General features: G+C 43.2%; 3 annotated features.

Annotated features, from left to right (window-relative positions):
- Positions 23,090–23,778: an enhancer, noted in NCBI's record as "OCT4-NANOG-H3K27ac hESC enhancer chr8:139966492-139967180 (GRCh37/hg19 assembly coordinates)". NCBI's record gives its function as "activates a minimal SCP1, AML or CMV promoter by ChIP-STARR-seq in naive H9 embryonic stem cells {active_cell/tissue: H9 hESC(naive)}" and the evidence as "EXISTENCE:reporter gene assay evidence [ECO:0000049][PMID:30033119]".
- Positions 24,469–25,157: an enhancer, noted in NCBI's record as "NANOG-H3K27ac hESC enhancer chr8:139965113-139965801 (GRCh37/hg19 assembly coordinates)". NCBI's record gives its function as "activates a minimal SCP1, AML or CMV promoter by ChIP-STARR-seq in naive H9 embryonic stem cells {active_cell/tissue: H9 hESC(naive)}" and the evidence as "EXISTENCE:reporter gene assay evidence [ECO:0000049][PMID:30033119]".
- Positions 26,227–26,521: an enhancer, noted in NCBI's record as "tiled region #9382; K562 Activating non-DNase unmatched - State 13:Ctcf". NCBI's record gives its function as "activates a minimal TATA promoter and a strong SV40 promoter by Sharpr-MPRA in K562 cells {active_cell/tissue: K562}" and the evidence as "EXISTENCE:reporter gene assay evidence [ECO:0000049][PMID:27701403]".

Below are 27,677 nucleotides of genomic sequence, written 5' to 3'. Positions count from 1 at the left end.
CTCTCCCCAATTCATTTATGGACTCAATAGAATTGTAATTAAAATTGCAGCAGGTCATTCTTTTTATGTTAGTGTTGTGGGTATTGATAAACAAATTCAAAAGTTTTGTGGAAATGCTGTGACTATAGAATAGCCAAGGCAATATTTAAAAAGAAGTTAGAGGATCTATAAGTTTCAAGATGTAGTATGAAGCTGCAGTAATAAAGTCAGTGTGACTATCGACACAAAGATAAATAAAGCAATAGGTCAAAATAGAGAGTCAGAAAATATGTATGGGAAAAAATGAACTTTCCACACTATCCCACAGTATGCCTTAAACAATAATAATTGGAGGAAAACCATCAACATAAGTCTGAAAGTGAAAAACAATCTTCAGAATAAAACAGTAGAATATCTTTATACTCTGGTTTTAGGCAAAGATTTCTTAAACAAGCTACAAAGAACTACTCATAAAGGAAAAACAAGATAACTTGAACCTGGTGAAAATTAAGAACTTGTGTTCATCAAAAGCCAAAATTCTAAAAAGTCATTAGTTAACCTACACCTTGGTGGAAGTCTTTGTGACACATTCTTGTCTTGTGTTTCCCAGTATCCCATGTGCAGCCCAGTGCCTGACACCCAGAGGTGCAAACAAAAGATGTGCTTTCTCCCTGCCTCTCTTCCTTCCCCCATCTGGTGGCCTTATGCTTGTCTTGCGGGCATGAATTTCTGTATCAGCAAAGGAATCAACGTTCCACTATGCCTGGTATGAAGAATCATATAAAGGTTCACTGTCTAGTTGTGGGTCTTTTATTCTGCAAATGTTCTAAAGAACACCTAACAGAGAATAAGGATAGAAGATTTAACTTGAATGGCCAAATACATGCACAAACCAAAACCCACATGGACAACAAAGTACATTCATCAGGGGCATAGACTACAGCCAGACAGTTGTAGGTTTCAGTTCCAGAGATGGAATGTACTTGTTGACTTTGGACAAAACACCACGCCTCCTGAGTCTCATTTTTCTTATCTGTAATAAAATAGCATAACTGTATAGTAGATTGTTTTTAATAATTAAAATACCAAAACCTATTCCATGAACTACCAATTCCCATGATGCAAATAAGTATTCCACATATAAACTATTTCATTATCAAATATGTTTTGACAGTTCTGAATATAATTTTTTTAACTTCAAGACTCCTACAAATAGAAAACTAGAAAAGAGGGAATTTTTTTTCCTAGTGAACATTGTAATTCTCCAAGGGAGGCTAAAGTATTGAGTTTTTCAATGCATCTCTGACCTATGGAAGTATTTTTCATGATAAAGGACTAGTGTTATATGGACACACTTGGGGAAATGATGATGTAGATTACAGTAGACATTCCAAAATGCTATCTGCTATTATGATGATGATGATGATTACTACTACTACTATTATTGCAAATATAACTGATTATTAGTTTTCAGCAACAATAATAATGCAAGAGCCCTAAATCTAAGTCACATATTAAGATTTATGAAGCATAATTTTCCAAACAAAATTTTGCCTGTTGGATTTTCCTTGACTCATCTCTGAATTCTACTAGTTTTAGAATAGACAAATTGGAAATATAAAAATCCCTTCTCCCCTTCCTAATTAGTATGACGGATTATTGAAATGAGATTGTTCCATCACAGTAGAGATGATGCCATTGCTTTTAATTAACCATACAGGGATTTGAGCTGGTGGGAAAAAAAAAACATAAAAAGAGAAAAATCCCTAACATATTCATTTGCCTGGCTTGATGACTAAAGAAGTCCAAGAAATAGCATAGCTGTAGGCTTACCTTTACTCTTGAGTTCCTAATACAACAACAGATTTATACATACCCCTTTGCGTATTTATAATGGTGTTTCCATGACATGGGGCTGATGAAAACATGGACAGAAAGTGTTAGAATCACAAAATTCTTCAGCACCAACCTTGCTTCCACTGTCTTCTTGGAGTACACCATTCATTCTTCAGAAAGTTTAAATCATCATGTTGGTAGGTGATGAGTCATTTTCCATTATTCATGATTACATTCTTGTACGCAAACACCCTCAATGCGCCAGCATTTGTTTTACTCACTGTGATAGAGACCCCAGAGCACCACACTTGTGGCTCTAGGCCCTTCCAAAGCATTCCAAGAGCTCCAGGATGCATGGAATACCAGCAATAACCTGGGTCCGGGGGCCTGCCTTTGGGTTGCTATTTGGACTCTTTCCCAGGGGAAATTAGGGTAAGGCTCTTGCCATTCCTTTTCTCTTTCTAGCAGTAGGCCAAGATGGGCATGACACCTTTCAATTCCAACATCAGAAGACCCCATGGCTTCAGTTCACATTAAAATGACAACACTGGGTTGGATAAAAAATATGAGAATATTCAGTTTGTCACCAGCCCTGGCTATTTTACCTCTACTCAATAGACAGGTACTGAGTGTCTAGCTACCCAGCCCTGGGCTAGATACTGGAGAAACAGAAGCTCACAGTTATGTTGGAGAGAAAAATATATGCAAACTGATATAGTATGACACACTCAGTGCTGATGTAAACATAGTACCAAAGAGATTAATAAAGAGCTGAGTGACTGCAGCAAGCTTTACAAAAGAAGTTAACTTAAGCAGAGTTTGGAAGGTTGAATACAAGTTTGGCAGCTTGATAAGGTGTTAGGAAGGGCACTCTAGGCAGAGAAGACAGCACTTGTGAAAGTGCTAAGCAGCTGAATACACAGATGGACAATGGCCGAACCATATACAAAAATAAAGTTCTGACTTGCAATTGGCAGCAATCAGTCCAGAATGTCAACCAATTATCTGCAGCAACCAATCCAGAAAGCCAAACAACCACCCCTGTAACTATCAGCCTAAACTGGCCAGGTTGTGATAAATAACTGATAGTTTCCCCAACTTCCAACAACTAGAGAAAGCCTAAATTCACTCCTAAGCAATCACATGGGTTGCCCTACTTGTAATTAGCCCAACTCCAGCTTCCCTGTGCCTTCAGTCAGGGAATACCTAATACCTTACCTTTTTTTTCCATTATACAGCTTTCTACTCCTCTGTATGACAAATGTAAGTGATGGTGGCTGACTCTTTGTTATAGCAAACTCCGAATAAATAGCCTTTGTTTTTTCTCATTGGGTGATATTCTTTCTCATAGTACAGAGACATAAAACCTAGTGTTTTGTGTAAGTAATTAGTAGTAGATACTTATTGTAGGTGGTGTGTTTGTGTGTGTGTTTCTGTGAACGTATGCATGCATGAATTGAAGGGAGGGCAATGCAGATGAATTTGGAGAAACAGGCAAGAACAAAGCCAAACAGACTTCTGTACAATGTAGTAGCTAACAATTTCTGTATAATAACATTACCACAATCTTAGTTGCTTAAAACAATACACATTTATTATCTCAATTTCTGTACATCAGGAGTCCAGGCATACCTTGGCTTCAATCCAGGTGTGAGCCAGGGCTCAGTCTCATTTGAGGATTGACTGCGGAAGGAACTATTTCTTAGCTCATGTGCCTGGTGTCAGCATTTGTTCCTTGTGGGTTGTTGGTCTGAGGGCCTCAATTTCTTCCTGGCTTTTGGCTGGAGGTCGCTATACCAAGCAAACTAATGCCTCCCCAAAGATGCCCATTCCCTAATCCCCAGAATCTGTTACCAGACTTTGTGGGTGTGATTAAGGCTGATAAATGAGAAGAGGACTCTGTATTATCCAGCTGAGTACAATCTGAACATGTGAATCCTAAAAGTATAGAACCTCTCCTGGGTATAGTCAGTTAGGGAGAAATGTGACAACAACAAGGAAAAAAAGCAGTCAGGCTGTTGCTAGCTTTGAAGATGGAGGAAGGAGAAATGAGCAAAGAAATGCATGCAGCCTCCAGAAATGAAAGGCAAGGATCAGATTCTCCTCTTGGGCATCCTGAAAGCCCACAGCCTAATCAACACTTTGATTTTAGTCCTATGAGACCTGTGTGGGACTTCTGACTTCCAGAACTGTGAAAGAATTAATTTGTGTTAAATCACTAAGTTTGTAGTAATTTGTTTTGGTGGCCTTAGGAACTGACACAGTCACCTTCCATTCCTTGCCATGTGTTTCTCTGTATAGGGAGCTCAGAGATGGCAGTTTATTTCCACAAAGCCAGCAAGGGAGAGAGTCTCCTTGCAAAAGAGGAGTTACAATCGTATGTAACGTAATCCTGTGCATCCCAACACCTTTGCCAAATTCTATGGGTTAGAAGAAAGTCACAAATCCTGCCCTCACTCAGAGGAAGTGGCTACACAAAGGCATCAACACCATGAGGTGAAGGGAAATGATTTCTGGGATATGACACCAAGAGCACGGTGACAAAAGCAAAAATAGACAAATGGTACTCTATCAAACTAAAAAGCATCTGCACAGCAAAGGAAACAATCAACAAAGCGAAAAGTCAGCTTACAGAATGGGACAAAATATTTGCAAATCATATATCTCATAAAGGGTTAAAATCCAAAATATGTAAAGAACTCATACAACTCAATAGCAAAAAAAAACAATCAAAAAAATAATTTAATTGTAAAAATGGGTAAAAAATCTGAATAGACCCTTCTCCAAAGAAGATACACAATAGGTACACAAAAAGATGCTCAACATTACTAACCATCAGGGAAATGCAAATTAAAGCCACAATGAGATATCCCCTCACACGTGTTAGGATGGCTGTTAACAAAAAAAAAAAAAAAAAAAAGATTAGTATTGGAAAGGATGTGAAGAAAAAGAAACTCTTGTAAACTCTTGGTGGGAATGTAAATATGTATAGCCATAATTGAAAACAGTGTACAGGCTCTTTGAAAAACAAAATTTACCATACTATCTAGTCATTCCACTACCAGGTATATATTGAAAAGAATTGAAATCAGGATCTCAAAGAGATATCTACACGCCCATGTTCATTGCAGCATTATTCACAATAGCCAAGATATGGAATCAACCTAAGTGTCTGTCAGCAGATGCATGGATAAAAAATGTGATATATACATACGATGAAATATTATTTAGCCTTTAAAAATATCCTGCAATTTGATATAACATGGATGAACTTGGACGATATCATGCAAAGTAAAATAAGCCAGACACAGAGAGCAGATATTACATGATCTCACTTACATCAGGGATCTAAAGTAATCAGACTCACAGAGACGGACAGTAGAATGGTGGCTACTGGGACTGAAGACAGAGTGAATCAGGGAGGTGTTGTTCAAAGGAAAAAAAAAAAGCTTCAATTTTGCAAGATGAATAAGTCCTAGGGATGTACAGTACAGCCAAGCATCTATAGTTAACAATAGTGTATCATATACTTGAAAACGTTTTATGAGGGTAGATTTTATGTTAAATGCTCTTATCACCAAAAAAGAGGGAGGGAGGAAACTTTTAGAGGTGATAGTCATGTTTATGACATTGCTTGGAGTGAAAGTTTCATGGCTGTATACTTACAAACTCATCAAGATGTATATATTAAAAATGTATACGTTTTTATGTCAATTATACCTTAATTTTAAAAATCTGCAAGAAAGCAAATTTGAACACTGCCAATATAAGCTCACAACTTTGAATCCCTGTAGTGTTATGTGTCAGTCATCCTTGCACCAAAAATAAATTCAAGGTGACGCATTCCTTAGCTAGCCACCCCTTCAAAACAAAACCCACTGGATAAGGGCTGGGGGAACCACTGCATCTGGAGTCTGTGTGAGAGGAGAGAGAGTGAGAAATTTACTTCCTGGCTCATTCCACTCTCTTCTTCCTTGCTGGTCAAAGTACACCGTACAGGGGGTTAAGTCCCTTATGTTTCTGGGATTGTTGCCTAGACCCTTGAGTAAGCAGCTTGGAAGCCAGAGCATCTCGTGGTCCAGCCTAATCCATGCTCAGGTGCAGCAATTTCTCCCTTATCAGGTAAGGCTGCACACACACCAGGGCTCCTAGGCCTGTGGGAGCTTGTACTATGGCAGCTGTGAGTAGAGTTTTCAGCAGCACAAAGTACATAAGCCACCTCCTTCAAAGATACAAGGCATGTAGCCAAGCCAGGAGAAACGGGAACAGAAGGGGAGGAGCTGATCTAGGGTAAAGTATAATCCAGATTCAGTTCAATCTGAACATCTAAATTGAAGAAAAACGTGGAGATACAAGATGTTGTGAGTAATGTATTGAAACAATACAATAAAATGATACCCATGAATACCACATAAACAATACATTAGGGTCAGTTAGGTATGATAATTAGCAGCATTAGGCCTTTAAGAACTTCAGATAATTCTTAGAGTTTATGGACGAGCACATTTAAAATAAAGAAATAAAAGGAGGATTCAAAATCATAGGAAACTAGTAATATACTAGTGAAACCACCCCATAAACGTTTTTTTTTTTTTTTTTGAAATGGAGTCTCACTCTGTCGCCCAGGCTGGAGTGCAGTGGTGTGATCTCTGCTCACTGCAAGCTCTGCCTCCTGGGTTCACACCATTCTCCTGCCTCAGCCTCCCGAGTAGCTGGGACTCAGGCGTCTGCCACCACGCCTGGCTAATTTTTTGTATTTTTAGTAGAGACGGGGTTTCACCGTGTTAGCCAGGATGGTCTCGATCTCCTGACCTCGTGATCCACCCGCCTGGGCCTCCCAGAGTGCTGGGATTACAGGTGTGAGCCACTGCGCCCGGCCACCACCCTTATAAACTTTATAAAATTAATCAGAAAATAAGGGAAAGGGAGAGATGAAAATACACTCAGCTTGCAACACATTCGGCATTGATCATTAAGTCAGCTTGCTCTCTGACAGGTTTCCTCATAGCTGTTTGGTGCCTATCATCCTAGAATCAGGTAGACCCTGTTACAAGATCCTAGTTCTACTTAACTGCTCTATCAATAGCCACTTGAACATTACAAAATGTTAACTTTTCCCTTTGAGATATTCTTTTAGGTCTTGTATACCAGTGAAACCACTGACGTCGGCTGGTCTAAAGGATGCCACTTACTCCAGCTGTCTGAGGGACCCCATGAAAAGCTGATTCACCAAAGAATACAGTTTCCACATCTTGATGATTTCATACCCCCTACCTTGACCAGTCAATGACCCCAACTTTCCAGCCCCTTGCCCTCCATGGTCCCCTTAAAAACTCCAGCCCAGAATTCTTGGGGGAGATGGATTTGACGGTCTCCTCCCATCTCCTCACTGGGTGCCCTGAAATCATTGAACTCTGTCTGCTGCAAACCCTGCTGTTTCAGTGTAATGGATTTGTTACTACACAAGGGGCATCCAAACCTGTTGGCCCTATAACACCAGAATAGAACATCAAGTGAGTAGAACATCTAGAAATAAAAATATAATCATTAAAATTTTAAATAAAATTAATGAATGGGCCAGAAATGCACATATGAAGAAGGTGGCAATATAACATGTAAACCTGATATTAGATCTGATTATACTGCCATATTACTCTAAACATAATCCAGAGGGAAAGAGAATGAAAATTATGAAAGATGCAACTTTACAAGGATCTCAGAAAAGGAGACATTATACCCATTATAATAATAGAAACAAGACTATGACTGGGTCAATAGGTAATGAGGTAATGGCCAGAAAGATTGAGAACTTCCCAGACGTGCTGAAGGACATGAATCCTCAGACTCAGGAAGCACAGGAACCCCAAGACAGGTGAATAAATAGAAAATCACACCTAGACATATTGTAGTTAGGTAAAATAGCACCAAAGGCAGAGAAAAGATATAAAAACAAAACAGAACAAAAGTACACACAACGTTTCAAGAGAAGACAGTGATGACTTACACTGGGATGACATTTAGATTAAATTACTAGATTTTAGGAAAGATGTTTTATTCATTAAGATATTTGAAAATGCAGGAGGAAGTGGCAGTGTTTTTCCATCCTCCCAGCCTAGAGAAAGAGGACAGGTAAGGATACAAGAGATGCTTAACTAAAGAGTGGAGAGGCCAGATAGTACCAAATTGTCCAAGAACTTTCCTGTTCTTTGTCCCTGTAAAGTTTCACCCTCCTTCTGACAATGATGCTGCAATAAACAAAACCATGCAAATTAGCAACCAGGGGTGGAGTGACACATAGTTAATGAGCTCTATTTGACAGGATTGGCTTGGGTAGAGTGAGCAGAGTTTGCAAAGATAAGGAACAGTCAGCTAAATGGGAATGCACAAGGCATATGGAGGACTCTGCTGATCCTGGACCCGGGCCCCACCGCATAAACAAGCTATGAGATTTTAAAAATTTATGTTGCCTGCTTCACATTGCCTCTCACTGACAGTTCCTACCTGATGAGGGTAGGAGACCTGTCTCTGCTCTGCATGGAGCGCTGGGTTAGGGACTTTAACTCCTTCAGGGCAAGTGCTAAGGTCTTGGTGGTGTTGGTTTCCCATACATCCCAGGCATTTCTTTATTCCCAATTTGTCTAGGTTTTAGTCTGCTCCAAACATCCAGTTCTCCCTTGTTCACACACGCATATCCCACCTCTATGTTCCGCGCCCAAGGATTGTGACACTGGGTGAAAACAGTATAGCTATCTACACAGTGGAGTCCACAGAAAGGAAATGAGACCCTCAGATTAAGGCAAGAGCATATTTTCATGACTTTTTAAGATGTACTGAGAATGATCAATCTCTAAGTATTTGGGGGAACATAAAAAAATAAATAATCAATCAATTAATAAAAAGAAATACAGGCTGAGGCTGGGCACAGTGGCTCACACCTGTAATCCCAGCACTTTGAGAGGCCGAGACGGGCGGATCACGAGGTCAGGAGATTGAGACCATCCTGGCTAACACGGTGAAACCCCATCTCTACTAAAAATACAAAAAATTAGCCGGGCGTGGTGGCGGGCGCCTATGGTCCCAGCTACTCGGGAGGCTGAGGCAGGAGAATGGCGTGAACCCGGGAGACGGAGCTTGCAGTGAGCCGAGATCGCGCCACTGTGCTCCAGCCTGGTAGGCAGAGCGAGACTCTGTCTCAAAGAAAAAAAAAAAAAGAAATACAGGCTGAGTCATATCCACAGGCTAATTGCTTTCTTTCATAGTCATCTCTACCTGAGAAGAGGTCCTGTCTGGAAGCATTTTTGACAAAGACCTTTGTAAAAACTGAAGGAGGTCAGGCCATACCCACCCTAGGTTTCCAGTTTAAATTATTCCTCCTTAAGAGCCTTTCTGTCTGCTCATTTTAAAGAAACAGAAATAAATTTTTCATTATTCTTATTTGAGACAGCAATCAGCAGGGACAAAATCTACCTAACCAGGCGGGGACACAGTGTACTTTCAAGTGTGGGAAGGTCAAGTGTGAGATGGAGTAGGAACCCCTCTTTAGGGGCTTACAGGGCCCCCAAAGCATGGAAATAAAGGAAAATCTTGAGTTCCTTCAAGGGACATTGCAGGCACCTAGCTAGTCTTGGGAAGTAAATGAGCAAGCTGGTAAGCCAGAAGGTAATAGCAGCCTAAAACAATAGCCAACAAAGTTAGAGCCATAAGTTGTTTGGTTCCTCCATAGAGACTAAAAATAACATTTTAACATATGTCTCTGGGTTGTTTTTCAGAAACCTGGGCCCCCACCAAATGGATACTCTGGTACACAGACCTCAGATGAGGGGGAGCTGAGGACTGAGCTCTGCCCACCCTTCTTTATTCAAAATGTCTTCCTGGGGGCCTGGAGAATGTCATGCCCATGGGCCAGACCTAGCATTTCTTTCTGTTGTCCCAAAAAAATTAAACAAACTACCCTTCCTTAACCAATTGCAAATCAAACTTTAAATCTAGGCTGGGTGCTGTAGCTCATGTCTGTAATCCTAGCATTTTGGGAGGCCAAGGTGGGTGGATCATTTGAGGTCAGGAGTTTGAGTCCAGCCTGGCCAACATGGTGAAACCCGGTCTCTACTGAAAATACAAAAATTAGCTGGGCGTGGTGGCACGCTCCTGTAATTCCAGCTACTGAGGAGGCTGAGGCAGGAGAATCACTTGAAGCCAAGAGACAAAAGGTTGTAGTGAGCCGAGATCAGGCCACTGCACTCTAGCCTGGGTGACAGAGTGAGAGTCTGTCTCAAAAAAACCCAAAAAACCAAACCAAAACTAAAACAAAACAAAACAAAAAAACCTTTAAATCTACCTGTGACCTACCCCACTGCAGGAAATCCCACCTTTTTAGGCCAAACCAATGTTTAGTCTCCACATGTTGATTTATGATTTTGCCTGTAACTTGTGCTTTCCTGAAATTGACCCCTGTCTTTAAAACCTTTGCTCAGAAGCCATCAGGAAGCCTGGGCCTTAAGCATGGGCTGCCGGATTCTCAATGCTCAGTGCTCTACAAATAAACACTCTCCTTTCTCCCACTGCCAATGTGCATGTGGATGCTTGGCCTTACTGTGCCAGGTGAGAGGACCCAGTTCAGTTCAGTGATAAGTAGAGAAGGTCAGGGTATCTGACCTTGTTTTCCTATTTAGGTTTATTTTATTTTATTAATTGATAAAGAGCAATTTTATATATTTATGGAGTACAAAGTGATGTTTATATACACACATATATTGTGGAATGATAAAATCTGGCTAATTAATATATCCGTCTCCCCAAATATTTATCATTTCTATGTAACACCACCCTGCCGTCCAAGTGTGAACTCAAGAGGACAGGAAACAGCCTCTGACCTTGGTGAGCTGACCTGGTGCCCTCAGCCAGGCCTTGGTGCTCTCCTGCTGAACGCAAACATCCCATAGAGTATCAACATCAGACAAGGCCACTCTGTGCCCACGAAGGAGCCAGATAAAACAACATCCCTCAGTAGTCATGAACACAGACTTTGTCCACGCCACAAAAATGACCAAGCACCTCCCTCTCCTGGCTCATGTGAGTGACACTGCTACTTGACCAAGCATAGCATTAGCCTCACTCTAATTGGCCCTCTCTATAGATAAGACATTCCGGCATGGCGACGCCCCTGTTTCTTGATCACATCCAATCCAGAGCAAAGCCCGCTTCCTGAAACTCTCCCCAGTGTCACCTAACACAGGCCTAAACCCTGCGTTCACCTTCTGTAACACACCCTTACTGACATGAGCCAAGGTGCCCTATTCTGTGTGTTCTGCCTGCAACATTATGAACCCAATTGTGTGTCCCTGGCAGAGTTGTGCTTTAGGATATTGATATTACAGTCTCATCAGAGACCTTTTCTCTGCCCTCATCCCAGGTGAGGCATGAGTGGCGGGTCAGGGAAGAGTTTGGTGGTCTTTCACTCTGCTTTCCTGGTGCTCAGAGCAAAGGCGTCCCCCACCTCTTACCACCTAGTGTTCCATTTCTCCATGCACCCACCCTTCTCCCCCTTTAAAAACTGTAAAGTGATTGGGACATAAGCATTGCTGGAGGACAGCTGCCCCCACACAACCAGCCAACAAGTGGAGTTTTTAAACTCCATATTTGAGTTTAAAAAGTGATGTGGGAATGGGACAAGCCAAGATGAAAGGGGTTAGAGGAAGCATATGTGAATGCAAGACCTCCAGACAATGGGGAGACGGGTTCCTCCTCTTTTTTTTTTTTTTTTTTTTTGAGATGGAGTCTTGCTCTGTCACCCAGGCTGGAGTGCAGTGGCACGATCTTGGCTCACTGCCACCTCTGCCGCCTGGGTTCAAGTGATTCTCCTGCCTCAGCCTCCTGAGTAGCTGGGATTACAGGTGTGTGCCACCATGCCCAGCTAATTTTTGTATTTTTTTTTTTTTGGTAGAGACGGGGTTTCAGCATCTTGGCCAGGCTGATCTTGAACTCCTGACCTCGTGATCCACCTGTCTCGGCCTCCCAAAGTGCTGGGATTACAGGCATGAGCCACTGCGCCCAGCTTTCCTCCACTTTTTAAAACTCTGATTGCTCTCTTACAAACCAACCTAGTGGTCATGCCCATCATGTGCCCCTCTCCCCAGGCTCCCTCCCTCTGAAGGCAGACCCTGCTTCTGATCCTCGTTCGCTAATGATATTCTGCTCCCTACGCCTTGTGCAGTGCCTGGCACACATCAGGCACCCAGAAATATGATCCATGAGGGAATTGGCCCATGGGGCTCTCCTTGCTTAACTAGAAAGCGTTCATTGCCTCTCTTTCATTGCCTTTCTTGTCTCTAACTCAATGCACAGGAATTCTATTCACCCTCTAGGGCCCAATTCAAATGATACCTCCCATATGAAGCCTTTTCTAGAATTCGCAATAAGAAGGATTCATTCCTTCCTCTGTACACCCTGGTGAAGTCAGTAAATCCCTATGGAAAAATAAAAACATGGGAATGAATGAAGACCAAATACACAGTATGGAAACAGCTCTAAAAAGTCACCTTGATTTTATCCAGTCATTGCATCAAAGCTCAGAGTCCCAGAGGGTGAAGTCCAGTGGTAAGCTCTTCCCTTGCTGTTTGTCCATGTCACTGCTCCTCCTGGGGTACCTCCTCCCATCACCATCTGTAAGAACTGTCCCCATCCTTCCAATCCAGTCACAGCTCCTCCCAGCCGTGGAGCTTTGTCTGACCTCTGCAGCCCCATGCAGCTCTCCCGGCTCTGGACTCAGGGAGCCCATTAGCTGTTAGCTGTAACGAGGTGCTGACAACAGTTGATCTTCTGCCCTCTGGGGCTGGCAAAGGCAGAAATGTAAACAAACGATTATGGTGAACTGTAGGAATGTACTCAATGGAGATATGAAATTTTGTCATTCTGTATCTGAGCAAGGAATAATTAACCCTCAGATAGGTGTGTGTGTGGGGGGTGTTTTATTCAAAACAAAAGTCAACTCAAAGACTCTTGAATGTTAGATGCTGCTAACAGAAAGAAGAAAGACCACCTGCAAGGCACAGAAAGAAACAAAAGCTGAACTGTTTCCAAATTCACAGAAAGGAATGTCACTCATGCTGCCCAGGGTGCTGGAGGCAGGGCCTGGTACCTGGGAAGCTTTGTGCTGGGGAGGATGACAACACATCTTGGAGAGATATTGGTCTGCATCCTGCCTCGTCTACATGCAGGCAGCAGTGAGAGTAATGAGTCACTGCTGCTGTGCTCTCCACCCCAGACCATGGCTCACACTCAGTGGCCTGAGCAGCCCAGGAGGCTGAGGACAGCCAGGTGGACCAGCAGCCAAAGAGGCTGCAGGGAGCCAGCAGATGTGAATGGCTTTGTGTTCCCACTGGGCCGGACCTTGGCCACTCTCTGGAATTCACTTTAAAACTTTGGTGGAAAAGTATCAACTTTGTCAACCACTATGGACTTAAGCAAGGGCCTGCAGGTGGCTCCAAAATGGAGGGATGGGGGCTAGTTAGAGCTTTGGAGAAAAGGAAATTATAATGAGGACAATCATAAGAACAGCCAAACACTTGGTCAGCTCTGCATCAGCCTTTCAGGGGCTCTATTACCTCTGAGGCTCTCTGCAGCCGCAAGCGCAAGCCAAGTCTTGCTCACCTCACTTTACAGCTGAAGCATTGCAAATATTTATGGTCTACTGGCCCTGAGTGGTTATTGTACTAAGCCCTTGACATGCCCACCTCACTTAATACTAGGCAGAGCCCCCCAAGGGAAGTCCTGTTGCAATCCCCATTTATCAGATGAGCAAACCAAGCCTACTGGACTTTTAGTATTTGCACACAATCACACATTGTGAGATGGTTTTGAACCCACATCTAAGTGACTACAAATGATAGATAGAAATTCTAGGGGAAAGAGTGTAAGTCGGGAACCACGGAGGGCAAAGGGGCAGGAGGGAGAATGAAAACATTCCCATAAAGTAACTTCAGTCCAAATTAGAGTACATGCTGAGAGTCAGAAAAGCAGCTTCACTTTTCATGGTGGCCTTGAGCAAACCAGCTCATCTCTTAGGCCTCCCATTTCCAGAGTGGGAACAGTAGCACCTACAGTGTTAATAAAAAAGAGAAAGAAAGAAAGTATGGTTAATCCAATTTTGAAAACAAATATAATGCTGCTGTATGCTACAACATGAATGAACCTTGAAAGCATTATGTTAAGTGTGTGAAAGGAAAATATCTTGGGCCCCCCAAATCACTGAGCTAAGGGGAAAATTCTGCCTGGAAACTGCTCAGGGCAAATCTGCCTCTCATTCTATTCAAGGTCATCCCTCTGCTCACTGAGATAGATGCATACTCTGGTTGCCTCCTTTGGAAAGGCTTGTCAGAAGCTCAAAAGAATGCAACCATTTGTCTCTCACCTACCTGTTACCTGGAAGCCCATCCCTGCTTCAATTTGCCCCTGCCTTGCGGGACATAACCTATGTACTTCTTATATATATCGATTGATGTCTCATGTCTCCCTAAAATGTACAAAACCAAGCTGTGTCCCGACCACCTTGAGCACGTGTCGTCAGGACATCCTGAGGCTGTGTCACGAGTGCATGTCCTTAACTTTGGCAAATAAACCTCCTAAATGATTGAGACTTTTCTCGTCATTTTTCTCAATTGACAAGTGAAAGAAACCAGACACAAAAGACCACATATCGTGTGATGCCATGTATATGAAATACCCAGAAAAGGCAAATCTATAGACAGAAAGGAGATTAATAATTGCCAGTGGTGGCCAGGAGCGGTGGCTCATGCCTGTAATCCCAGCACTTGGGGAGTCCAAAGCGGGTGGATCATGAGGTCAGGAGATAGAGACCATCCTGGCCAACATGGTGAAACCCCAACTCTACTAAAAACACAAAGATTAGCCGGGAGTGGTATTGAGTGCCTGTAGTCCCAGCTACTTGGGAGGCTGAGGCAGGAGAATTGCTTGAACCCGAGGGGCAGAGGTTGCAGTGAGCCGAGATTGTGCCACTGCACTCCAGGCTGGGTGACAGAGCAAGACTCTGTCTCAAAAAATAATAATAATAATTGCCAGAGGCTAGGGGTAAAGGGGAAGTGGGGGATGACTTCTAATGGGCATGGGGTTTATTTTTGGAGGTGATGATATGTTCTGGAATTAGATAGTGGTGATCCTGCAAAACTCTGTTAATACACTAAAAAAACACTTTAAAATGATCAATTTTATGGTATGTAAATTATATTTTAGTATAAAAAAGTCAATTTATGTTGACATTCAGGCTGTGTACCAGGCTCCAGATTCTTTTTTACACCCTGGAGAAATCTATAACTGAAGGAGGAGTTAGGGGGAGGGCATCACACTGTTTGAATCTGGAGTCGTGTCAGCACTTTTACATTCATAAAATCATGAAACCTTGGCCTCCCATCTTTGAGCACATATGTTTGTTTTAATTTTACTTACAGGAAATGGAGACTGAGAAAGGAGTGATTTCAGTGGAAAGTAATGGGAATATTAAGCACTTTCCAGCCCCAGTAGAACAAGGAATGTCAAGGGAACAGGGTTGCCAATGACTATTACCAGTAGTAAAAATAATGACAGGCCGATGATGATGCTGACTCCCAAGAGTGGAGAGGCTACCATGTCCTAGAGGCCCTCATAAGCACTACATATGTATTACTTGAGTCTGAAACAACTGTACGAGGCAGGTGTTAATATTATCCTTAATAAATTAACAATATTAATATTGTTCAGGCTGCTATAACAATCTACCATAGACTGGGTGTCTTAAGCAACAAACATCTATTCTCACAGTTCTGAAGCCTGGGAAGTCCAAGACCCAGGCACTGGCAGACCTCGTGTCTGATGAGGGCTTCCCTTCTGTTTTGCAGATGGCGGCCTCTGTCTTCCTGCTGAGTCCTCACATGGTGGAGAGCAGAGAGCCTACCAGCTCCCAAAGTCTTCACTAATTCTAGCAACAATCCCAAAGTCTAGAGTTCAAAGTCACACCTAACTATCATCGAAATCAGTTATGGGTGAAGCTAGAGGTATGATTCATCCTGAGGCAAAAATCCTCTCCAGCTGTGAACCTGTGAAACCAAACAAGTTATGTGCTTCCAAAATACAATGGTGGGATAGGCGTGTGAACCCAAAACATCTGAGACAGGTCTCAGTCAATTTAGAAAGTTTATTTTGCCAAGGTTAAGGACATGCCCATGACACAGCCTCAGGAGGTCCTGATGACCTGTGCCCAAGGTCATCGGGGGACAGCTTACTTTTATGCATTTTAGAGACATGAGACATCAATCAAAATGTGTAAGACGTACATTGTTTCGGTCCGGTAAGGTGGAACAACTCGAAGTGGGGTCTTCCAGGTTAGAGGTAGATAAGACACAAAAGGTTGCATTCTTTTGAGTCTTTGATCAGCCTTCCACTGAATACACAATTTAGTCTGGCTCAGTGAATCTGCATTTTTACGTAAACAATAGGGCAGAGGAAGCAACCAGATATGCATTTGTCTCAGGTGAGCCTCAGAGGGATGACTTTGAGTTCTGCCTGTCCTTTGTCTACAAGGAATTTCCTGGTGGACACATTGTGAGGGAGGTATGTAGCTCCTTATCTTTGTAGCTATCTTATTTAGGAATAAAATGGGAAGCAGCTTTGCCTGATGTAGTTCCCAGCTTGACTTTTCCCTTGACTTAGTGATTTTGAGGTCCTGAGATTTATTTTTCTTTGACAAGCATAGGATAAATATTCCCATTCCAAAGGGGAAAAATGGGAGAGAAGGAAGGGATGACTATTCCCAAGCAAATCCAAAACCTAGCAAGGCAAATCCCATGAGATCCTAAGGCTCAAGAATAATCCTCTGACTCAGTGCTCTGCTCCTAGGGCCACTTGGGAGTCAATGTCACCGCTGGGACTCAGTGGGCAGCTTTCCACATCATGGCTCTCTGTAGTGGTCCCGCCCATGATGTGGCTCTCTTACTGTCCAGAGGAGGCTGGGAGAAGTTTAAGGTTGCTTGGCCACTTGAAACCTAGAGGAATCCAGCATGGTGCATGGTGCAGTGGGAGAATCCTGGCTTCCAACATCATATGTTCCCACTGTCAGAGTTAATACTGGGCTAGTCAGCTAAAGGTAAAGGCAGCTGTTTGCATCATTTCCCTTCAGAAAATACAGGAATTGGTTGCACGTGATGGCTCATGCTTGCAATCCCAGCACTTTTGGAGGTGAAGACAGGAGAATCATTTGAGGCCAGCAGTTCAAGACCAGCCTGGCCAACATGGTGAAACCCCATCTGTACTAAAAACACAAAAATTAGCCAGGCGTGTTGGTGCACACCTGTAGTTCCAGCTACTAGGGAGGCTGAGGGATGTGAATTGCTTGAGCCCAGGAGGCAGAGGTTGCAGTGAGCAGAGATAGTACCACTGCACTCCAGCCTGGGAGACAGAGCAAGACTCTGTCTCAAAAAAAAAAAAAAAAAAAAAAAATACAGGAATTGCATAGTCCAATGTGATAAAGAGAAACATTATTTCTTAAGGAAACCTGTGATTATGTTTCACAATAAAATGATAAACAGAGAACTGGATGGTGAATTTGCCAGTTGTTCTTTGTTGCTGTGGGCATAAGGTCCCTGTGATGGCAAGGTGACTGTGTGTATAAACTCTCTAAATTTTCACCAGTGGCTTGATATAATATTATATTGTGACGGTCTTTATACAACTGGAAGGAAAAATGAGTCCCGGTGGTCCCCTGCTCTCAGCCCAGCCTGGCACACACCCATGCCTAACTACTGCATCTGTTCCTTTGAGGTCTCTCTGGGGAAAGAGGTTTGGATGGAAGTACTCACTGTCTTCCAAAAAGAGAAGGCACAAGGACAGCTACTTATTTGGGAAATAGCTGTCAAATCAGTTACATTGTGATTAAATTAGCAGCATCAGAATTCTCACAGATAGTGTGTTTAGCCTGTATTCCTTGCCAGGATAGCATTTCAAAACCAATGCCATTGTGAGAAGAGGAAACAACGGGAGCTCACCAGTATCTCATATATGCAAATTGCTCTCGTGTTTCTACAGTGTTTATGCTATTCCTTATTTGATCACCTCATGCCTGCATTATCCATTACAGTAGCCGGTAGCCACCTGTGGATATTTAAATTAAAATTAAATAAAATTACAGATTCAGCCCCAGTCACATGAGCCATATTTTAAGTGCTCAATAGCCACATGTGGCTAGTGGCTGCCACCCTGGACAGCGGAGGCGTAAGTAGCAACCCATTTCCCAGCCCATTCATCTCCAGTGCTGGGGGTTGAATTTAGAAATTCATTTAGAAAATGGTTCACTGCCGGCTGGGCGCGGTGGCTCACACCTGTAATCCCAGCACTTTGGGAGGCCGAGGCGGGCGGATCACAAGGTCAGGAGATCGAGACCATCCTGGCTAACACGGTGAAACACCGTCTCTACTAAAAATATAAAAAATTAGCCAAGCGTGGTGGCGGGCGCCTGTGGTCCCAGCTACTCGGGAGGCTGAGGCTGAGACAGGAGAACGGCGTCAACCTGGGAGGTGGAGGTTGCAGTGACCCAAGACCGCACCACTGCACTCCAGCCTGGGTGGCAGAGCAAGACTCCATCTCAAAAGAAAAAAGAAAAAAGAAAATGGTTCACTGCATCACTGTGGCCTGCCTTGTCTGGGGATGAGACCCCCAACCCACCACACTTCATACCACAGCCATTGCAACATGTGCGTGTGCATGGTCTGTACGGGTGGCCTCTGCTTGCTTGCCACCATCCTCTCCTCCCTCCACACTCCTCATGTCCTGGGCCCCACCATGCTCTTGGGACCTTTGCCCATTAGTTCCTCTGGCTGAGACAGCTTTTGCCCAGGTCCTTTGCAGGCCTGGCTCCTCCTTAACCTTTAGACCTCACCTCACTTCCTAGGAGGGCCTCACCCTGTTCTAGTCCAAGGGTGCCTGGTCATTATTCTCTTATTTTCCCTTTTCTCCTTCTGAGCACATATCATAATTTGTCATGACATCATTTTCCATGGATATATGTATTCTTTCTCACCCCTATTTGAGTATAAGGCTGTGGGCAGAAACCAGGTATCATTTTTGCCACTCTGTCCCCAGAATAATGTGGCATTGACTGGTAATGTGACTCTGGGTAAGGTTCCCGTGGTTCAGTTTCCTCATCTGTAAATTGAGAGTGATGAGACTACCTATGTCATAGTTGTATTTGGAGGATGCAAATTTGGAGGACTCATTTTTGGATGAGTCCAGGAATTGCAGAAATTACTTGGGACCAAAGTAGCAACATGGGAAGGACAATGACTACAGACGCCCACTGTTCCGTTGAATGTAGCGACATCGTGTTTTCATTACGTTTTATTTCTCAAGTGTCACAGACATCACTGGCTGTCTCTTGGCTTTAGCCTCCATGACCCCTGTGAGATGTCACTGGCCCCATTCTCCTCTGCCCTCCATGAGGCCACCTCCTCTCAGTGATGCTTTGCCACTGTGGGATGTTGCTGTTACCTATTCATGCCTCTCTTCTCTTCTGGACTGTGAGATTCTCAAAGGCAGGGATGATACCCAGTTAATGTACACATCCTCAGGGCCTACATGGTGGCCAGGTGTGGAGGGGAAAAGATATCATGGAATTTATGCTCTCTAGTGAGTTCCTTCCTGACTATAGTGAGGGAGAGAGAGTGAGGAGGTAGGGAGAGATGAGAAAAAAATATCCCCAAGGGTCCGTATTAGTTTTCTATTGCTTTCTATGGCCAACCAATCCTAGGGAAGCTCAGAAACCTGAAAACATCTTCTACAGGTGATACAGCACTGCAGGAGGAGCTGGGAGCAGGCCATGAAGGGCCAGTGCTGGTTTTCCCACTCATAGTGTGTCCTGCTGGGTAAGTCACTTACCTTCTCTGAACCCCAGTTTCTTGTTCTATAAAATGGAGATAATGGTGCTTGTTCTGTGGGTTGTTCTGACAGCTCATTGAGAACATGCACACACACACACACACACACACAGACACACACACCACACACACATACATACACAGTCCCTTGCACATAACTTGAACTCATTGAATTCCAAATGCATTCTGAATTGCAAACCAAAAAGTATTTGAAACAGGCCTCAATCGAGCTAGAAGTTTATTTTGCCAAGGTTAAGGACATGCTCAGAAGAGAGGTTCATGCCTTTCTCCAAAGATAATTTTGGGGGCTTCAATAATTAAAGGTGAAAAGTAGGCTGGAGCAGGGAAGAAGGAGGGTAAGGTCACATTACTGAGTCCATGTGTTGCAAGAGAAAAGGAGCAGGTAAGAGAACAGTCAGTCATGTATTCATTTCATGCTTAGTGAATTGGCACTTTACATAGTGTGAGGTGAACATAGAGATATTTAATCATTGGGAGCGCTCTCTTAAGAACAAAAGGAAAGGCAGTTCCATGCATGACTCAGCTTTCGGCTTAATTTTTGTTTGTTTGTTTTTTTGTTTGTTTTGTCTTGGCAGAGTGAATTGGGGTTTTGAGTCTTTATTTTCCTTTCACAGGTTGAATTTTATTTTGGCTCTGGCTTTCATTCTGCTTGATATTGTTGAGGCTTTTTCACTTCCACAGTTTAGTGAGTGGGAGGGAGTGGCACCCAGTGGCTTCTTTTCCACCACTGTTCAACAAGTGGGACGGAGTGTTACAGCTATTTTACTCCCACCGCCCACAGCTCGGTGAGCAGCAGCACTGCAGCTCTTTTGCTCTCGTAGTTCAGTGACTTCCGGGTTTTTGTACCGTGACCAAGAGGAATAAGGTATATGAACACTGGAGAGTGAGTAAGGCAGAGTAGAATTTTACGGAGTGACAGAAAGAAAGCTCTGAGCATCAAGAGGGGACCCAAAAGCAGGCAGTCGCCTGTGAGTCTGAGTCCAGGATTTTTATGGGCTTAGAATGGGGAAGTGCATGCTGATTGGTCCATGGGTGGGCTTAGAAAAAGCACCATTCAATTGGTTAAAAGGCATCATTCAGAAGGTACCAATAGAGAGAGTAGGTAAGACTGGGATGGAAGTTCTCATTCTAGTTGTGGACTCTATCTGGAAGTGGCAGCTCAGTTTTCAGGCTTTAAACCGTCCTTGGCTTGAAGGTCAGGTTTCACCGGGAACCCACCTCTGTCTGCCTAGGAATCTGTCAGTCTCCTGTTGCTACCAGCATCAGGGTTGTTTCCCCCTTCTCATCAAACTGCATGCCATGTGCCAGATGCAGGTTACAACTGAAAGGTAGGTTCCATCAGAAAACAGAAACCAAGCAGAAAGGATTTAAAGTAGGTGTATTTGTATTTTAGGACTGTCATAACAAAGCACCACAAATGAATGGCTTAACAAACAGAAATTGATTCTCTCACAGTTCTGGAGGCCTGAAGTTCAAGATCAAGGTATCAGCAGGGTTAGTTCCTTCTGGGGCTGTGACAGGGAATCTGTCCTAGGCCTCTCCCCAGCTCCTGAAGGTTTTCTGGCCATCTTTGGTGTTCTTTGGGTTGCAGAGGTATCACTCTGATGTCTGCCCTCATCTTCACACAGTGTTCTACCTGTCTCCATGTTTCTCCTTTCCATAAGGACACCAGTCTTTATTGGATTAGGGACCCACCCTATTTCAGGGTAACCTCATTTTGACTAGTTACATCTGCAACTAGCTACTCCCAAATAAGGTCACATTCTGAGGTCCTGGTGGGGTAGGGCTTCAATAAATGGACTTTCGTGGGGGATACAATTTAACTCCTGAGAGTAAGGAATTTATTGCATAGATAACAGTTAGCTGAGCTGCCAAAGAGGAGAGAGATCAGCCCCCGCAGGAAGGTATTGCTATCTCTGTGGAGTCCTAATTAAAGGAAAAGAGTCAGGCTGGCAGAACCAGGGGAAAGCAAAGAGATAAAGCAAATAAGCTACAGGTCTGCCTTTCTTTATGGCCCAGGATGTATAGCCCTCCTGCACAGATAATGTTCATAACTCACAAACTTTCTGTTTATCCTCAAATGCTTCATTTTATCATCAAACATCTCCTTGGTGAACAGAAGAATGCAAGTTAGCTCCCTGCTGCCGTGGCATTATCAATCAACCCAAGAGCCGTCCTATAAAATCTCCAGCAAGTCTTTGTTTCCTGGCAGTCAGCTCCTCTTCTGCTGATTCTGCCCATTGCTCCTTGGCAACGTATTTTCCTACTTTGTCTAATAAATCTGACTTTCTTTACCTACAATTATCTTGGTAAATTCTTTTAACCCCTCACCACTGGCACCGATAGATGCTGCTTACCCACAACAACCTTGACCAGGAAGAACCAAGAGGTGGTATTTGTTGAACCTGGAGATTAGGGTTTCCTAGCAGCAGCTAAAACCATGGCAGCTGCCACGGATCTGGCACTGTGGAGGAGACGCAGTTCTGGCCAGAAAGGCTACCAAAAGTAAGAGTAAAGGGGAGAAATACCCTGGCTTCTCCCTTCCTGCTGCCTTCCAGTCTTCCTGTTGGCCTCATGTGGGAAGCCAGGAACCAGGGCGTCTGCGAAATGCAGTGCCCTGCAATGCCCTTGAGGATGTGAAGGGGAGGTCATGGATCTGAGAGCAAGGAGACCACAGTCAGCGCCATGCTTTTGCGTGCGTGCCCTCATCAGCCTTCCCAACGTCCACGTGGGGGAGGAATCACAGCCTTCATTTTACACATGAGGAAACCAAGACTCAGAACTCTTGAATACCTTACCCAAGGTCCCAAAGCCAGAATTCTGCATCAGAGCAGAATTCAAACTCGTTCCTGGTTGGCTCCAAGGCTGTGCTTTTTCTACTGCACTGGATCAGTCAGTTGAATGGCAGGATTGCACGTAATTCACACATTATCCTTCCCGGGACCTAGCACAATATCTACCGCATATCAGACATCGATAAATGGTGACCAAAATATAAATGGTAGTAAGTGATTCATTACCAAATAAATAGCAAAAATGGCAGGTGGTTTGGAATTTAGGGAAGAGGGAGAATGGTGTTAGCCAGAGTGGTTTCTGTAGGCAGAATATGAAATTGGAGCTGGTCTTGTGCCATAAGATACCAGAAGGACAGTGTCGGTGCAAAGAGTCAAACTCTGTAAAACCTTTGAAGAGATTGATTCTGAGCCAAATATGAGTGACCATGGCCTGTGACACAGCCCTCAGGAGGTCCTGAGAACATGTACCCATGATGGTCAGGGTGCAGCTTGGTTTTATACATTTTAGGAAGGCATGAGACACCAATTAAGTACATTTAAGAAATATTAGGTTGGTGCAAAAGTAATTGCAGTTTTCACCATTACTTTTTATTTAATTTAACCTGAGAGATTGTTTTAATGGCAAAAATTGCAATTACTTTTGTAATACATTGGGTTTGGTCCAGAAAGGCAGGAAAACTCGGGGTGGTGGTGGGGTGGTTATAGGTAAATTTAAACATTTTCTGGTTGACAATTGGTTGAGTTTGTCTAAAGACCTGAGATCAAACAGAAAAGAATGTCTGGGTTAGGATAAGAGGTTGTACAGACCAGAGTTTTATCATGCTGATGAAGCTTTTAGCTAGCAGGCTTCAGAGAGAATAGGCTGCAAACTGTTCCTTATCAGACTTAACGTCTGTGTTGATGTTAACGCTGGAGGGGTATAATGAGGCAAGTGGGACCCCCATTTCCTGTCATAGCCTGAAACAGTCTCTCAGGTTAATTTTTTTTTTTTTTTTTTTTTTTTTGAGACAGAGTCTGGCTCTTTTGTCACCCAGGCTGGAGTGCCGTGGCACGATCTCAGCTCCCTGCAACCTCAGCCTCCCTAGTTCAAGTGATTCTCTTGCCTCAGCCTCCCAAGTAGTTGGGATTACAGGCGCCCACCTCCACGCCTGGCTGCTTTTAGTATTTTTAGTAGAGACAGGGTTTCACCATGTTGGCCAGGCTGGTCTTGAACTCCTGACCTTCAGTGATCCACTTGCCTTGTCCTCCCAAAGTGCTGGGATTACAGGCATGAACCACTGCATCCAGCTCTCTCAGATTAAATTTAAAGAGCCCTGGTTTAGGAGGGTGTCCATTCAGATGATTAGGGGGCCCTATTTTATTTTTGGTTTACAACAGCGTTCTCTAGCTTGTGCAGTTGTACTTGTTTCGGCTCGGATGATGGCCTCAGCAAGTTCTTTCCTCAGTTTCCCTCCCAGGCCTCATTTCCTTTATCTAATAAATGTGGGCTGTTTTAAAGCAGAGGTTGTAAACTCAAATTTACAAATAGGCCAGCAGGTGTTTAAAGTGAGAAAGAGGCAATGACAGAAATGCCAGCGTGAGGATGGGGAAACCACAGGGGTGGAACTTACTGTGGCAAATTCTGATGCACCCACTCTCCCAGGGGCAGCTCCTCAGCTCTAGCCCACTGTGGCTTGTGGAACGTGTGTGCTCATTGTGGCCTTACACACGGCTTCCTCCAGAGAATCTGGGTATGTGAGTTTGAATGTGAAAATGCAACATCCTTCAGTGATGGTAATTAATTCAGATTTTTAAAATGCCATGTGAGCAATAATAACTGTAATGATATGAATGATCACCTTAAAGGCCAAGTGTGACCTGCAGGCTACTGGTTCTGCCCTTCTCTCCCCAAAACCTGACAGGGTGTCCTGCCAAGCAGGCCTTTTGGTGGCCCTCATCTCACCACTGTGCCTTTGGGAGGGGCTGATATTTTGTTATTTAGCTTTCAGAGAGAGAGAGGAAGGGAGAGAGGTTTGTGCTCCCTGCCCCTGAAGGTTGAGATCTTGCTGCCTGGAGCTGACAAGCTCTTGACTGCCCCCAGCTCAGTTAGTCTTCAAAGGGCTGCTTAATTGTTCTTGGACTGGCTCCAGGGAGCATCTGGCTCTTTGCTGGTGTCTGTTTACAGATTTTCCACATATTCTAATTGTGTTGCTCAACCTCAGAAAAGTGGACTCAGGCTCAGGCTGAACCTGCATCCTAGAGGGAGAGGGTCAGGAGCTGAAAGAGCCTATCAGAGCCCTGGTGAGGGAGGAGAGAAAAGGTTGAGTGGGGCAGGAGGGATGGCCCTGACCACCTTTTCCTGCTTCAGACATCAGCAGCAATGACCAAAGCAGTGTGCATTCCTTTGTGGTGTGCTCACCACCCCCGCCAGGCCCCTCACCTATGTCATCCTAATTCATCCTCACAGTAACCCTGTTGTTGAGGCATTGCTATTTCCCCATTTTGCAAAGGGTGAAATTACAGCATAGAGAGGTTAATGTCTTGCCTAAGGAAACTGGTTTTTAACTCTCAGGGCTGCCAAAGTGAGTCATCTTCTGGATTGTCCACGTGGCTTCCAGTGTCAGGTAATGGAAGACTTGGCCCTCACACCGCTCTGTATGGTCCTTCCTTTCAGCATCCCCAGGGTTTTAACCACGTGGCTTCCAGTGTCAGGTAATGGAAGACTTGGCCCTCACACCGCTCTGTATGGTCCTTCCTTTCAGCATCCCCAGGGTTTTAACCACGTGGCTTCCAGTGTCAGGTAATGGAAGACTTGGCCCTCACACCGCTCTGTATGGTCCTTCCTTTCAGCATCCCCAGGGTTTTAACCACGTGGCTTCCAGTGTCAGGTAATGGAAGACTTGGCCCTCACACCGCTCTGTATGGTCCTTCCTTTCAGCATCCCCAGGGTTTTAACCACATGGCTTCCAGTGTCAGGTAATGGAAGACTTGGCCCTCACACCGCTCTGTATGGTCCTTCCTTTCAGCATCCCCAGGGTTTTAACCACGTGGCTTCCAGTGTCAGGTAATGGAAGACTTGGCCCTCACACCGCTCTGTATGGTCCTTCCTTTCAGCATCCCCAGGGTTTTAACTGCACACATCCCCATGAGGCCTGACTCCTTCCCACGTACACCTTTGTGTCTCCTTCAGCTGCTCAGTAATCTGTGGATGAAGGGAGATGACTCGTTCCAGCCTGGGGAAGAGCTGGGATCCAGCCCTGACTCTCTGATCACTCACTGTGATGTTGAGTTGCCCACTTTTCCTCTCTATTTGTTCTTTTGCCAGCTCGCTGACTTTGGCTCCTTCTTAAATTGCATTGTTTTTTAATTACTTAATATTCAATTTGCTCTGAGTTTTTGAGCTTCTTAACATGGAAGCTTAGTTGATTGATTTTACAAGTTTTCCCTAATATTTGCTTTGAAGCTGAAAATTTTCTAAGCACTGCTTAATCTGCATCCTGTGATATTTTTCTTGTGCTTTCCTTAATACTCAGTGCACACTATTTTCTAATTTCCTTTGTGCTTTTTCTTTTTGGACCCACAGGCTACTTAGGAAAGCATTGCTAAATTTATAATTATTTGGGGATTTTCTAGATATCTTATTGTAATTGAATTTTATTTTGTTCAGACAACGTACTGCTTATATATATGTTCAATACTTTAAAAAATTATGTAGACTTTTCTTATGTCCTGGTATATGCTCTATATAAATGGTTCTCAACTAGGGGAGATTCGCCCTGCTCCTCCTCCACCCAGTCATTTGGCAATATTTGAAAATGTTCGGTTATCACAACTGGGACAAGAGTGCTACTGACATCTAGTGTTGGAGGCTGGGATACATTCTACAATGCCCTGCTCCACCTTCCCCACGACCCACCATCCCCACCCCATCACCACCGCTCCATCTCCACATTTTCATCCCGTTGAAAATGTGAATAGTGCTGAGTTGTAAAACCTTGTAAAATATTGTTTCAATATTCTATAACATGACTGATTTCTGTCTACTTGTTTTATTTTTTATTCAGAGAGCAGCACTAAAATTTCCAACTATAATTGTGAATTCATCTCTTTCCCCTTTAGTTCTGTTAGTTTTGTTTCATAGTTTTGCTTCACATTATACAAAAGTATAAGATGGTGAGAAACTCTGTTCTTAAATGCATATGTATGTTGAATTGTTATGTATTCTTGATGAATGGAAACTTTTATCATTATAAAATGCCTCTTTATCTCTTTGTCTTCAACTTAGTACTTTTTCTAACACTAATATGACTACAACAGCTGTCTTAGACTTAACTGTTTGCATGATATATCTCTTCCTACATTTTTCTTTCTGCTGTATCTCTGTATTTAAAGTATGCATATTAGAAACAGAATGTAGTAAGTTATTGCTTTCTAAAAAATCTAGCTAGCTGAACCATCCTTATCATGTTTTTGAGCTATTTAAGCTATTTATATTTAGTGTAATAATTGGTTTGATTGTCTTAAAGTTTAGTATCTTGAAATTTATCTTCCCTTTATCCCACAAGTTTTTGATCCTTTAAAAAAACTTTTCCAGAATTCTTTAATGCAAATCTATTGTATTTCCTATATTGACTTTTTCAAGTTTGCTTTATTTTACAAATTTATGCTAGGAAGTTCTTATATACAGAAAAGTTTTACATATACATTGTAAAGCACATTTATTTATGTCTATATATCATGGAATACACTTTCTCAAGTATGGATAATGACACATTATACAAAAGTATAAGATATAAAGTTATGAAGTCAACTTTTCCATTACTGCCTCCCATAAATATTTAAAATCAGTTTCAGGAAAATACAAAGTCATAGGAACAGAAAACACATCGGTGGCTGCCAGAGACTAAGGGTGGAGTGGAGGAGAGGGAATGACAATAAAGAAATAGCATGAGGGAATTTTAGAGGGCGATGGTAATGTTCTGTATCTTGATTGTGGTGGCGGAAACATGACTATGTGCATTTGTCTAAATGAGCCTAACACCCCAAAGCATAATTTTATTGCATGTAAATAAAGTATATCTTTAAAAAGGCAGTATGAAAATAATTAAAAATATTTTTTTAAATGGGGGCTGGGGAAGGCTGTTACATCAAGACA

The sequence above is a fragment of the Homo sapiens genome, chromosome 8 (genome assembly GCF_000001405.40).
Source record: "Homo sapiens chromosome 8, GRCh38.p14 Primary Assembly".
Classification (NCBI taxonomy): domain Eukaryota; kingdom Metazoa; phylum Chordata; class Mammalia; order Primates; family Hominidae; genus Homo; species Homo sapiens.
This window is presented reverse-complemented; position numbering and strand designations above follow the sequence as displayed.